The sequence below is a fragment of the Homo sapiens genome, chromosome X (genome assembly GCF_000001405.40).
Source record: "Homo sapiens chromosome X, GRCh38.p14 Primary Assembly".
Taxonomy (NCBI): Eukaryota; Metazoa; Chordata; class Mammalia; order Primates; family Hominidae; genus Homo; species Homo sapiens.
In genome coordinates, this window is record NC_000023.11 from 57,336,992 (window position 1) to 57,351,110 (window position 14,119).

The window sequence follows — 14,119 nt, forward strand, 5'->3', positions numbered from 1 at the left end:
TAGAGCACTAGCTAGACTAATAAAGAAGAAAAGAGAGAATTAAATAGACAAAATCGGAATGATAAGGGGTTATTACCACTGACCCCACAGAAATACAAACAACCATCATAGATTACTATATACACCTGTATGGACAAAACTAGAAAATTTAGAAGAAATGGAAAAAAATTCCTGGAGGCATACACTTTCCCAAGACCGAACCAAGAAATAATTGAATCTCTAAATAGAACAATAATGAGTTCTAAAATTGAGGCAGTAATAAATAGCCTACCAATCGAAAAAAAAAAAAAAAAGCCCAGGACCAGATGGATTTACAGCTGAATTCTACCACAGGTACAAAGAGGAGCTGATACCATTTCTACTGAAATTATTCCAAAAAATTGAAAAAGAGGGATTTTTTTCTAACTCATTTTATGAGGCCAGCATCATCCTGATAAGAAAACCTGGCAGAGAAAAAATAAAAATAGAAAACTTTAGGCCAAGATTCTTGATGAACATCAATGCAAAAACCCTCAATAAAATACTGGCAAACAGAATTTAGCAGCACATCAAATAGCTTATACACCATGAACAAATTGGTTTCATCCCTACGATGCAAGTTTGGCTGAACATATGCAAATCAATAAATGTCATTTGTTGCACAAACAGAACTAAAGATAAAAAACATGATTATTTCAATAGATGCAGAAAAGGCCTTCACTAAAATTCAACATCCCTTTATGTTAAAAACTTTTAATAAACTAGGTATTGAAGGAACATACCTCAAAATAATAAGATCTGTATTTGACAAACTCACAGTCAATATCACAATGAATGGGCAAAAGCTGGAAGCATTCTCCTTGAAAACCAGCACAAGACAAGGATGCCCTCTCTCACTGCTCTGATACAACATAGTATTGGATGTTCTGGCCAGACAATTAGGCAAGAAAAAGAAATAAAGCATATTCAAATAGGAAGAGAGGAAGTCAAACTACCTTTGCTTGCAGATTACATGATCATATATCTAGAAAACCCCATCATCTCAGCCCAAAAGCTTCTTAATCTGATAAGCAACTTCAACAAAGTCTCAGTTTCATGAACGTCCGTGTGAAGAGACCACCAAACAGGCTTTGTGTGAGCAATAAAAGCTTTTAATCACCTGGGTGCAGGCGGGCTGAGTCTGAAAAGAGAGTCAGCAAAGGGAGATAGGTGTGGGGCCATTTTATAAGATGTGGGTAGGTAAAGGAAAATTACAGTCAAAGGGGGTTTGTTCTCTGGCGGGCAGGAGTGGAGGTCGCAAGGTGCTCAGTGTGGGAGATTTTTGTGCCAGGATGAACCAGGAAAAGGACTTTCACAAGGTAATGTAATCACTTAAGGCAAGGACCGACCATTTTCACTTCTTTTGTGGTGGAATGTCATCAGTTAAGGCAAGGACTGGCCATTTACACTTCTTTTGTGGTGGAATGTCATCAGTTAAGGTGGGGCAGGACATTTTCACTTCTTTTGTGATTCTTCAGTTACTTCAGGCCATCTGGGCATATACTTGCAAGTCACAGGGGATGCGATGGCTTGGCTTGGGCTCAGAGGCCTGACACTCAGGATACAAACTCAATGTGCAAAAATTGCCAGCATTTCTATTCACCAACAACAGGCAAGTAGAGACAAATCATGAATGAACTCCAAATCACAATTGCTACAAAAGAATACGATACCTAAGAATACAGCTAACAAGGAAAGTGAAGAACTTCTTCAAGGAAAGCTACAAACTACTCAAAGAAATCAGATAGGACACAAACAAATGGAAAAAAAAAATCCATGCTCATGGATAGGAAGAATCATTATCGTGAAAATAGCCATACTGCCCAAAGTAATTTATAGATTCAATGCTATTCCTATTAAACTACCATTGACATTTTTCAGAGAATTAGGAAAAAAAAACCTATTTTAAAATTCACGTGGAGACAAAAAAGAGCCCGAGTAGCCAAGACAATCCTAAGCAAAAAGAACAAAGCTGGTGGCATCATGGTACCCAACTTCCAACTATACTACAGGGCTACAGTAACCAAAACAGCATGGTACTGGTACCAAAACAAACACATAGACCAATGGAGTAGAATAGACAACTCAGAAATAAGACTGCACAACTACAACCATCTGATCTTCTACAAACCTAACAAAAACAAGCAATGGGGAACGGATTCTCTATTTAATAATTCGTGCTGGGAGAACTAGCTAGACATATGCAGAAAGTTGAAACTGGACCCTTTCTTTACACCTTGTACAAAAATTAACTCAAGATGGATTAAAGACTTAAACCTAAAACACAAAACTATAAAAATTTTAGAAGAAAGTCTAGGCAGTACCATTCAGGACGTAGGCATGGGCAAACATTTCATGATGAAAACACCAAAAGCATTTGCAACAAAAGCAAAAATTGACCAATGGAATCTAGTTAACTAACAAGCCTCTGCAAAGCAAAATAAACTATCATCAGAGTGAACAGACAACCTACAGAATGGGAGATAATTTTTGCAATCTATCCATCTGACAAAGGTCTAATATGCAGTGTACAAGGAACTTAAACAAATTTACAAGAAAAAAACATTAAAAAGTAGGCAAAGGACATGACCAGAGACTCCTCAAAAGAAAACATTAATGCAGCCAACAAACATTAAAAATAGCTCAACATCACTGATCATTAGAGAAACGCACATCAAACCACAATGAGATACCATCTCACACCAGTCAGAATGGCAATTATTAAAAAGCCAAGGAACAACAGATGCTAGCTAGCTTGCAGAGAAAAAGGAATGTTTTACACAGTTGTTGGGAATGTAAATTAGTTCAACCTTTGTGGAAGACAGTGTAGCAATTCCTCAAAAATCTAGGAGCAGAAATACCATTTTACCCAGCAATCCCATTACTGGGTGTGTTAGTCAGGGTTCTCTAGAGGGACAGAACTAATAGGATAGATTTATACATGAAGGGGAGTTTATTAAAGAGTATTGGCTCACAGGATAACAAGTTGAAGTCCCACAATAGGCCGTCTGCAAGCTGAGGAGCAAGGAAGCCAGTCTGTGTCCCAAAACCTCAAAAGTAGGAAAGCTGACAATGCAGCCTTTAATCTGTGGCCAAAGGCCCAAGAGCCCCCGGCAAACCACTTGTGTGAGTCCGAGCGTCCAAAAGCTGAAGAACTTGGGGTCCGATGTTTGAGGACAGGAAGCATGCAGCATGGAGGAAAGATGAATGCTGGAAGACACAGCAACTCTGCTCTTTCCAATTTCTATCTGCTTTATTCTAGCCACGCTGATTAGATGGTGCCTGTTGTGACTGGGGATGGGCCTGCCTCTCCCAGTCCACTGACTCGAATATTAATCTCCTTTGCAACACTCTCACAGACACACCCAGGAAGAATACTTTGCATTTTTTGATTCAATCAAGTTGACGCTCAGTATTAACCATCAAACTGGGTATATACCCAAAGGAATATAAAGCATTTTATTATAAAGATACATGCACACATATGTTCATTGTAGCACTATTCACAATAGCAAAGACATGGAATCAACCCAAATGCCCATCAATGATAGATTGAATAAATAAAATGTGGTACAAATACAACACGGAATGCTATTCAGCCATGAAAAGGAACAAGATCATGTCCTTTGCAGGGACATGGATGGAGCTGGAAGCCATTATTCTCAGTAAACGAATGCAGGGATAGAAAAGCAAACACAGCATGTTCTCACTTATAAGTGGGATGGGAGCTGAATGATTAGAACACATAGACACATGGTGGGGAACAACACACACTTGGGCCTGTTGGGGGATGTTGGGAGAAAGGAGAGCATCAAGAAGAATAGCTAATGGCTGCTGGGCTTAATACCTAGGTGATGTGTTGATCTGTGCTGCCAACCACCATGGCACGCATATACCTGTGTAGCAAACCTGCACATCCTGCACATGAACCCCAGAACTTAAAAGTTGATGGAAAAAAAAAAATAAGAACTCTTTTCTATATGAGAGAATTAAGAAAAAGCAGACACACAAACACAGACCCGGGGAAGAAATATCCTCAGGGAAAACCTTATCAGTAATTACTTTAAAATGTAAATGGCTTAATATTCTCAAGTAATATAGATGAATAGAATAAAATTATGATCTAAATATATGCTGTGAACAAAAGACTCACTTTGGATCTAAAGACACAAAAAGGTTGAAAGTGAAAAGATGGAAAAAGATATTCCATGCAAATAGTATATTAGATTATTTATTTGCAAGTATTTTGTGTTTCTTGTAGGTGGTGAGGGCTGCACACTGGCAGCTGCCTGCTCAGTTATTGGTGTGGGCTCTGATATTGGTGGTAGCATTCGAATGCCTGCTTTCTTCAATGGTATATTTGGACACAAGCCTTCTCCAGGTAATGTTAATATGATCAGAAGGGTGGTTCTACTTTTATAATTCAGAGCAATTCAGAAATTTTGTTCTAGCAGGATTATCTTGCTTATCAGGGTGATTATTATATATTTCTCAATGTTCTTAAATAAAACTAGCTACTGTTTATTGAGCACCAACTCTGGGATTGGTGCACAAAATTGTGCAAGGCTTTCCTATAACTAATGTCTTTCAATAGTTATAATAGTTGTTTTTTTTTTTTTCAGAAAGTTATCCCCAATTTACAAATGACAAATTCAAAGCTCAGAAAGATTAAATAAACCGGCTCCAAATTAAATAGTTAAACAAGTAAATCATAGTGCTAGGATTCAAACCTACTTGGATTACAGGAGGCTGTTTTCTATCCACTGTACTAAAATGACTTATCAGTTAAATTTGATTTTCCCTCATTTAAAGGGTAAAATAACACAGTTTCAGAAACAGTGGAAAGAAAAATTCTGTCACCTAGAAACTCCAGTTATTGGCATTTACTGTTTTTTCAATGAATTCAAGGAGTATTTATTTTGTATTATTTATGGTGGTAAGAATGTCAAAGCAGACTCCCTGCATTCAAGGAACTTAAAATCTTCTAGGCTTTCAAAAAGTGATTTAAAGGTAATATAAGGTAGTCTAATAAATATAATTGTGGTATAGTAAAGCAGAATATTTTGAACTTTAGATTAATCATAAAAATATGCTAAGAATAAATCCTCATTTGATCATGGTTTTTAGGAATCAGTACTATAACAATGGTCCGTATACACCATGGAATGCTATGTAGCCATGAAAAAGAACAAGATCATTTCCTTTGCAGGGACATAGATGGAACTGGAGGCCATTATCCTTAGCAAACTAACGCAGGAACAGAAAACCAAATGTGACATATTTTCACTCATAAGTGGGAGCTAAATGTTGAGAACATGTGAGCACATAGAGGGGAACAACAAACACTGGGGACCTTTCAGAGGGCAGAGGGTGGGAGGATGGTTAGGATCAGGAAAAATAAATAATGGGTACTAGTCTTAATACCTGGATGATGAAATAGTCTGTAGAACAAACCCCCATGACACGTTTACCTATGTAACAAACCTGCACATGTACCCCTAAACTTAAAAGTTAAAAAGAAAGATAAATCCTAGCTCTTCATGACTTTAAAGAATTACGCACAAAAAGAGTACTGAAAATTGGCCTGCTAGGAGTTGACCTATTTTTTTTCCCTTCCATATTTTATTCTACGTTCAGGGGGCACATATGCGGGCTTATTACATGGGTAAATTGTGTGTCCATGTGGTTTGGTGTACAAATGATTTCATCATTCACGTAGTGAACACAGTCCCTGATAGGTAGTTTTTTGATCCTTGCCCTCCTCCCATCCTCCACCTTTAAGTAGGCTCTGGTTTCTCTTGTTTTCTTCTTTCTGTCCATGTGTACTCAAGGTTTAGTTCCACATACAAGTGAGAAGATGTGGTAGTTTCTTTTCTGTTCCTGTGTTAATTAGCTTAGGATAATAATGGCCTCTAGCTGCATCCATACTATTGCAAAGGAATATTTTATTCCTTTTTATGGCTGCATAGTATTTCATGGTGTAAAGGTACTACATATTCTTTATTCAGTCCACTGTTGATGGGAAGCTGGATTGATTCCATGTCTCTGCTATTCTGAATACTGCTGTGATAAACATATGAGTTCATTTGTCTTTTTGGTAGAACAAATAATTTTCCTTGGAGTATATATCTGGTAATGGGATCACTGGGTTAAATGGCAGTTCTAAGTTATTTGAGATATCTCCAAACTCCTTTCCAAAGGGCTGAACTAATTTACATTCTTACCAACAGTATATAAGCATTCTCTTTTCTCTGCAGCCTCATCAGTGTCAGTTATTTTTGGATTTTTTCAATGATTGCCATTCTGACTTGTGTGAGACAGTATCTCATTGTGGTCTTTATATGCATTTCTCTGATGATTAGTGATGTTGATCATTTTTTATAGGTTTCTTGGCTGCTTGTACATCTTCTTTTGAGAAGTGTCCATTCATGTCATTTTCTCACTCTTTAATTGATTATTTACTTTTTGCTTGTTGATTTCTTTAAGTGCCTTATAGATTCTGGATATTAGACTTATGTTGGATGCATGGTTTCTGAATATTTTCTCCCATTCTGTAGACTGTATGTTTACTCTTTTGATAATTTCTTTCGCTATGCTGTAGCTCTTTAGCTTAATTTGGTCCCACTTGCCAAATTTTCTTTGAAATTGCTTTTGGAGACTTAGCCATAAATTATTTGCTAGTCCAGTGTTGAGAAGGGTATCTCCTAGGCTTTCCTCTAGCATTTTTATAGGTTGGGATCTTACATTTAAATATTTAATTTATATTTAGTTAATTTTTGCATATGGTGAAAGGTAGGGATCCAGTTATATTTTTCTGCATATGGCTGGCCAGTTATCCCGGCGCCATTTATTGAATAGGAAGTCCTGTTACCCTTGCTTTTGTAAATTTTGTCTAAGATCAGATCGTTGTAGGTTTGCAGCTTTATTTCTGGGATCTCCATTCTGTTCCATTGGTCTATATATCTGTTTTTATACCAGCTTCATGTGGTTTTGGTTACATTAGTCGTACAATACAGTTTTAAGTTGGGTAAAGTGATTTATTTGCCTTTTGTTTCCTTAGGATCCCTTTGGCTGTTCAGATGTATTATTGGTTCCATATGAGTTTTAGAATAGCTTTTTTTTTTTTTAAATTCTGTGAAAAATAACAGTATTTCGATAGGGATAACATTGAATATGTAAATTACTTTGGAAAGTATGGCAATTTTAATGATATTGATTCTTCCAATCCATGATAATGGAATATTTTTCTGTTTGTTTCATCTCATATTTTTTCAGCAGTATTTTGTTGTTCTTTTTGTAAAGATGTTTCACCTCTTTGGTTAGTGGTATTTCTAGATATTGTAGTTTTGGTGTGGCTATTGTAAATGGGATTGCATTTTTTATTTGGCTTACCAAGAATATTATTGAAGTGTAGAAATGCTACTGATTTCTGTACATGAATTTTGTGTCCTGAAACTTTACTAAAGTCATTTATCAATTCCAGGAGCCTTTTGGGAGAGTCTTTTTGAATCATATTGTCAGCAGAGAGAGATTGACTTTGTCTTTGTCCTATTTGAATGCCCTTTATTTCTTTCTCATGCCTAAATGCTCTGGCTAGGGCTTCCAGTATTATGTTGAATAGGAGTGGTGAGACTGGACACCTTTGTCTTACTGCAGGTCTCAAGGGGAATTATTCTGTCTTTTGCCCATTCAATATGATGTTGGCTGTGGGTTTGTCATAATTAGCTCTTATTATTTTGATGTATGCTCTTTTGATGACTATTCTTCTAAGGTTTTTATCATGAAGGAATGTTTGATTTTATTGAAGTCTCTTTCTGAATCTATTGAGATGATTATATCTTTTTTTGTTTTAAATTCTGTGTATGTGGTAAATCACTTTTTTTTATTTGCTTATGTTGAATTAACATTGCATCCCAGGAGTAAAGCTTACTCAACTGTTGTGAATTAACATTTTGATGTGCTGCTGAAATAAGTTTGCTAGTATTTTGTTGAAATTTTTTCTGTCTGTATTCATCAGGGATATAGTCATGACTTTTGTTGTTGTGTCTGTGCCAGATTTTGGCATCAGGATGCTTGATTTCTAGAATGAGTTAAAGAGCATCCTCTCCTCAATTTTTTTTTTTTTTTGGAATAGTTTCAGTAGTATTGGTACCAGGTTTTCTCCCTTCCCTTCCCTTCCCTCCTCTCCCCTCCCCTTCCCTTCCCTTTCTTTTTGCATTCCTGGTAGACTTCAGCTGTGAATCCATCTGGTCGATGTCTTTTGTGCATTGGTAGGTTTTTTTTAATTACTGAATTAATTTCGAAGCTTGTTATTTGTCTTTTCAAGATTTCTCTTTCTTCCTGGTTCAATCTTCAGAGGTTGTGTGTTTTCAGAAATGTATCCATTTTTTCTAGATTTTCTAATTTGTGTCCATAGAGGTGTTCATAAAAACCACTGAGGATCTTTTGTATTTCTGTAGGATCAGTTGTAACTTCACCTTTGTCATTTCTGATTGCATTTATTTGGACTTTTTTTTTCTTTGTTAATCTAGCCAGCAGTCTATCTTGTTTATTCCTTCAAAAAAGAGACTCTTGGTTAAATTGATCTTTTGTATGAACTTTTGCATGTCAATTTCATTGGTTCTACCCAATTATAGTTACATATTTTCTACTGCAAGCTTTGAGTTTGGATTGCAATTTATTTTCTAGTTCCTTTGGGTGTGATTAGATCACTGATTTTAGATCTTTCTAACTTTTTGATTCAGGCTTTTAACATCTTAAACTTTACTCTTAACAGTGCATTACCTGAATCACAAAGATTTTGGTAAGTTATTTTTTATTTTCATTAACTTATAATAATCTTTTGATATATACCTTAATTTCATCGTTCACCCAAAAGTTATTCAGGAAAAAGTTATTTAATTTGCATGTATTTGTGAATTTTTGAAATATTTTATTTATATTGGTTTCTATACTTTTTGCACTCTGATCCAAGAGTGTGTTTGGTATGATTTAAATTTTTTTGAATTTATTGAGACTTGCTGTATGACCAAACTTGTGGTCAATCTTAGAATACATTCCTTGTGCAGATGAGAGAAATATATATTCCATGATTGTTGGGTGGACTATTTTGCAGATGTCTATCAGGTGCAATTAGTCAAATGTTAAGGTTATATCCTTCATTTATTGGTTAGTTTTCTGCCTCAAAGATCTGTCTAAGGCTGTCAGTGGGGTTTTGAAATCTCCCACTATTATTGTGTGGCTAAGTTTTTTCTTAGGTCAAAAAGAACTTGTTTTATGAATTTGAGTGCTCCAAATTGGGTGCATGTATATATAAGATAATTCAGTCTTCTTGTTGAATTGAATCCTCTATCATTATATTATGCCCTTCTTTGTCTTTCCTGATTGTTGTTGGTTTAAGATCTGTTTTATCTTATAAAAAGATAGCAACTCCTGCTTTTCTTGTTTGCTATTTGCATGGTAAGTTTTTCTCCATCGCGTTGCTTTGAGCCTTTCAGTGTTGTTACATGTGAGAGAAATTCCTTGAAGAGAGCAGATGGTTGCCTTTTTAGTTTGGTGTTTAGACCATTTACATTCAGGGTCAGTATTAATGGATGAGATTTTGATTCTGTACTCATGTTGTTAGCTAGTTGTTTTGTAGACTTCATTGTGTAATTGCTTTATATTATCTGTGGGCTATTTGCTTGAATTGTTTGTGGTAGCAGGCATCATTCTTTTGTTTCTATGTTTGGCACTCCCTTAAGGACCCCTTTTAAGGTTGGTCTGGTGGTAACACACTTCATCTGGGAAGGACTTTATTTTTTATTTATGAAGCTTAGTTTGCCAGGACATGAAATCCTTAGTTGGAATTTCTTTTCTTTGAGGATGCTGACAATACACCCCCGTGTCTTCTGCCTTTAAAGGTTTCTGCTGAGAGGTGTGCTGCTATCCTGATGGAGTTCTCTTTGAAAGTGACATGACCTTTTCCCTTACTTGCCTTTAAGGATTTTACTTTTCCCATTGACCTTGGTGAATCTGATGGCTATGTTCCTTGTGGATGGTCATCTTGTATAGTACCTAGCTGGAGTTCTCTGTATTTCTTTGATTTGCCTGTCACACTCTCCAATAAGATTAGGAAAATTTTTATGGACTATATTTTCAAATATATTTTCCAAGTTAATTATTCTCTCTCCTCTCTCAGGCATGCCACTGATGCATAGATTTTGTTGCTTTACATAATCTCATATTTCTTGGAGGTTTTGTATATTGTTCTTATTTGTTTTTCTTTATTTTTGTCTGACTGAGTTGATTTGAAAAACTAGTCTTTGAGCTCTACGAATCTTTCCTCAGCTTGGTCTATTCTGCTGTCAATACTTCCTACTGTATTATGAACTTTTTGTAGTGAAATGTTTAATTCCAGGAGGTCTGTTTGGTTCTTTCTTTAAATGGCTGTTTCATCTCTCAGTTCTTAGATCATTTTAATGGATTCCCTGGATTCCTTGGATTGGGTTTCAACTTTCTCCTGAATCTCGATGAGTTTTCTTTCCATTCAGATAATGAGTTCCATATCTGTCAAAAAGGCTAGTTTGTTTATTTGGAGGTAAGGGGATGCTAAGTTTTTTTTTTTTTTTTTTTTTTTTTTTTTTTTTGCTGTTGTTGTTGTTTTAATTTTCATAATTCTTGCACTTATTCTTTCTCCTCTGAGGGGGCTGGTGTTCCCTTAACTGTGTTGAAAGCTGATTATAGTCAGTTGGTTTTAATTCTGTGTGCTTTCAGGAGACCAGGGCTCTTTATAAGATCTTTATTAGTGATTGGATTTTTGCCTTGGGTTTCTCAGGCACTGTATACTGGCAAAAAATTTTTTGATGTTGTTACTTAGGCTGTAATCTAGTAAATGGCATATAATGGTAATGGCTGGTAGATAGGCGCTTACTCAACAACGTGACTCTTCTGCATTTCTGAATGTTCATAGTAGTTATCTGTGGTTTGTTGGAGAGAAATGACCTCATTGGGTCTGATTCTAGGCCTTGGTGGAACATCCTCTGATCACTAGTGCAGTGCCTACATTTCCTATTTTAGGTGCTCCAGGCTGCAGACCTTCCCTGCACTCACCATTGAAGGACATAAGTGTAAGCCCACAGGTCCAGCTTTGCCTTTGCCTCAGAGAATGCATGGTTCGGGATCCTGCAGATTGCACAACCCCATCCACCACTTGAGGCACCTGAGCACTCTTCCTAGGGAACTGAGATTTGGCCTAAACACCCTGCAACTACCACGTCAACTGGCTTCTACTTGGAAGTGTTAGTTGCTGGCCCAAAAAGCCCATCACGACCACTGCCAACATGAGCACATAATGCTTGGGAACCAGAAGGACATCTTACATTGCTATTGCTATTGACTACACTATGTTGACTGCACAGGGGCTTAAGAGCCCACTTTCCTACTTAGTTCACTGATAACACAATTGCCATTCAAGAAAGACACCCAGGGGCCCAAGAATTGGCCCACCTGGAACCACCAATGTGGGTACCAGTGTACACCACCCCTTGGCACGAGGATGGATGCTCTTAGCTACCACTGTGACCGCTGAAGCCTGAAGACAGGCCCAACTGGTGTCAGTCCCTAGCACAGCTTTACTAAAGCCTTCACTAACAAGCATACCCAAACACACAGAAGGAAACCGCAGATAGCTCTTTACAACCAAAAATACTATACAGAGATTTAACTGCTGCATGCGTCTTGAGCCAAAGCCAAAGGGCTCAACACAACCAACATTATAGAAACACCTTCAGGAAAAAGTCTCCCCTAAGGAAAGTAAATTTAAAAATAGAAGTGATTGTTACACCAGATGCAGAGATGTCAACATAAAGACACAGAAACATAAAAAAGCATGGAAATATGACACCCCTAAAGGAACACAATAATTCACCAGCAAGAGATTCAAACAACAGAAAAAAAATCTCAAAATGCCATTTAAAGAATCCAAAATAAAGACGCTCAGTGAGATGCAAGAGAAGTCTGAATACCAATACAAAGAACTCAGAAAAACAAATCAGTGTATAAATGAGAAATATATATATATATTATATATACACATATATATATTATATATATAATGTATATGTGTATAATATATACACATATATATATTATATACATATATATGTATAATATATACACATATATATGTATACATATATGTATATATACATATACATATATACATATATATGTGTATGTATGTATATATGTATGTATATCTGTGTGTATATATGTATATACATATATACATATATACATATATACACAGATATACATACATACATATATACATATATACACATATATAATGTTTTATACACATATATATTTTAAATGTTTTATATATATCTATTTTAATATATATGTATATATGTGTGTATATACACATATATACATATATATACATATATACACATAGATACATATATATACATACATGCATATATACACATATATATACACATATATACATATATACACATATATAATGTTTTATACACATATATATTTTAAATGTTTTATATATATATATCTATTTTAAAACAGGAATTCTAGAACTGAAGTATTAATTTAAGGAAATACAAAATACATTCAAAAGCTTCAAAAATAGACTATACAAAATAGAAGAAAAACACTTACAACTTAAAGAAAGGTCTTTTGAAATAATTCTTTTGGACAAAAATAAGAGAACAAAGAATTAAAAAAAACCAAGGCCTCCAAGATCTTTGGGACAACATAAATCAACTGAATATGAAAGTTATTAATATTCCTAAATGTGAGGATAGATCAAAGCTTAGAAAATGTAATTTAATGAAATAACAGATGAAAACTTCCCAAGTCTACCAAGAGGTTTAGACATCCAAACACAAGAGGCTCAGTGATCCAAAGAAATAGAATACAAAAAATCTTCGTCACAGCACATTATAATATAACTGTCTAAAGTCAGTGTGAACAATGATTTTTAAAAACAGCAAGAGAAAGTCATCTATTTACCTATTAAAGAAAAACTATCCAACTAACAATGACCCTCTCAGCAGAAACTTCAAAGGCCAGAAAATAAATGGATGATATGTTCAAAGTGTAGAAAGAAAAACAACCCTGCTGACGGTGAATACTATATTCAGCAATACTTGCCTTCATAAATGAAGTATAAATAAAGTCTTTCCCATACAAATGCTGAGGGAATTTGTCACGATTAGATTGGCCCTACAAGAAATGCTCAAGAAGTCCTAAACATGAAAGCAAAAGGACATTAACCATTATGAAAACACATGAAAGCAAAAGGACATTTACCATTATGAAAACACACAAAAATAGAACTCACTAGAAAAGCAATCACACAAAAATGGAAGAGAAAGGAATCAAATGGCACTACTACAGAATTCCACCAAACCACAATGACAAACAACGTGGGAAAAAAAATAACTTATGAAACAAGCAGAAAACAGTTGACAATATGGCAGGAAGAAAACCTCAATTGTCAATAATAATTATGAACATAAACATATTAAAATCTCAACTTAAAAAATACAGATTGACAAAATGGTAAAAAACGATCTAACCAAATTCTTCTTACAAGAAAGTTACTTTATTTTAAAAGAACTATTAACTGAAAGAAAAGGGGTAGAAAAAATGGTCCTTCCAAATGAACATCAAAATTGGGCAGGAGTAGCTACATTTTTATAAGATCAAACAGACATTAAGTCAAAAACAATTAAAAAGGTGATTATATAATGATAAAGAAATCAATTCAGCAAGAGAATGTAACAATTCTAATTATGTATTTACCCAACATTGGAGCATCCAAATTGATAAATATCACTAGACCAAAAGAGGAGATAGATTGCAATACAATAATAATTAGGGATTTAATTCTCCACTCACAATATTAGGCAGATTGTCAAGACAAAAATTCAACAAAGAACATTTGTTGTAACTAGGCTATAAATCTAAATGGATGTAATAGATATTTAGAGAACATTCTTCCTGACAACTGAAGAATATACATTCTTTTCATCAACACATCGAACATTCTCCAATATGAACCACAGGATAGGCCACAAGAAAAAGCTTCAACACA

General features: G+C 35.2%; 1 protein-coding gene across 18 annotated transcripts in view, besides 1 other annotated feature; it reads left to right on the forward strand.

Annotated features, from left to right (window-relative positions):
* FAAH2 (fatty acid amide hydrolase 2) overlaps positions 1–14,119 on the forward strand; it is a 367,606-nt gene that overhangs the window by 215,401 nt on the left and 138,086 nt on the right. For all 18 annotated transcript variants that reach the window (NR_148564.2, NR_148557.2, XM_011530767.4 and 15 more), the window contains one exon: positions 4,280–4,399. Coding sequence is in view for 16 of the 18 variants with exons in the window: in XM_011530767.4 (XP_011529069.1) it covers positions 4,280–4,399 (120 nt within the window). In the remaining 2 variants the exon portion in view is untranslated. The remainder of the gene's footprint in view (positions 1–4,279; positions 4,400–14,119) is intronic.
* Positions 967–1,737: an enhancer, noted in NCBI's record as "OCT4-NANOG hESC enhancer chrX:57364391-57365161 (GRCh37/hg19 assembly coordinates)". NCBI's record gives its function as "activates a minimal SCP1, AML or CMV promoter by ChIP-STARR-seq in naive H9 embryonic stem cells {active_cell/tissue: H9 hESC(naive)}" and the evidence as "EXISTENCE:reporter gene assay evidence [ECO:0000049][PMID:30033119]".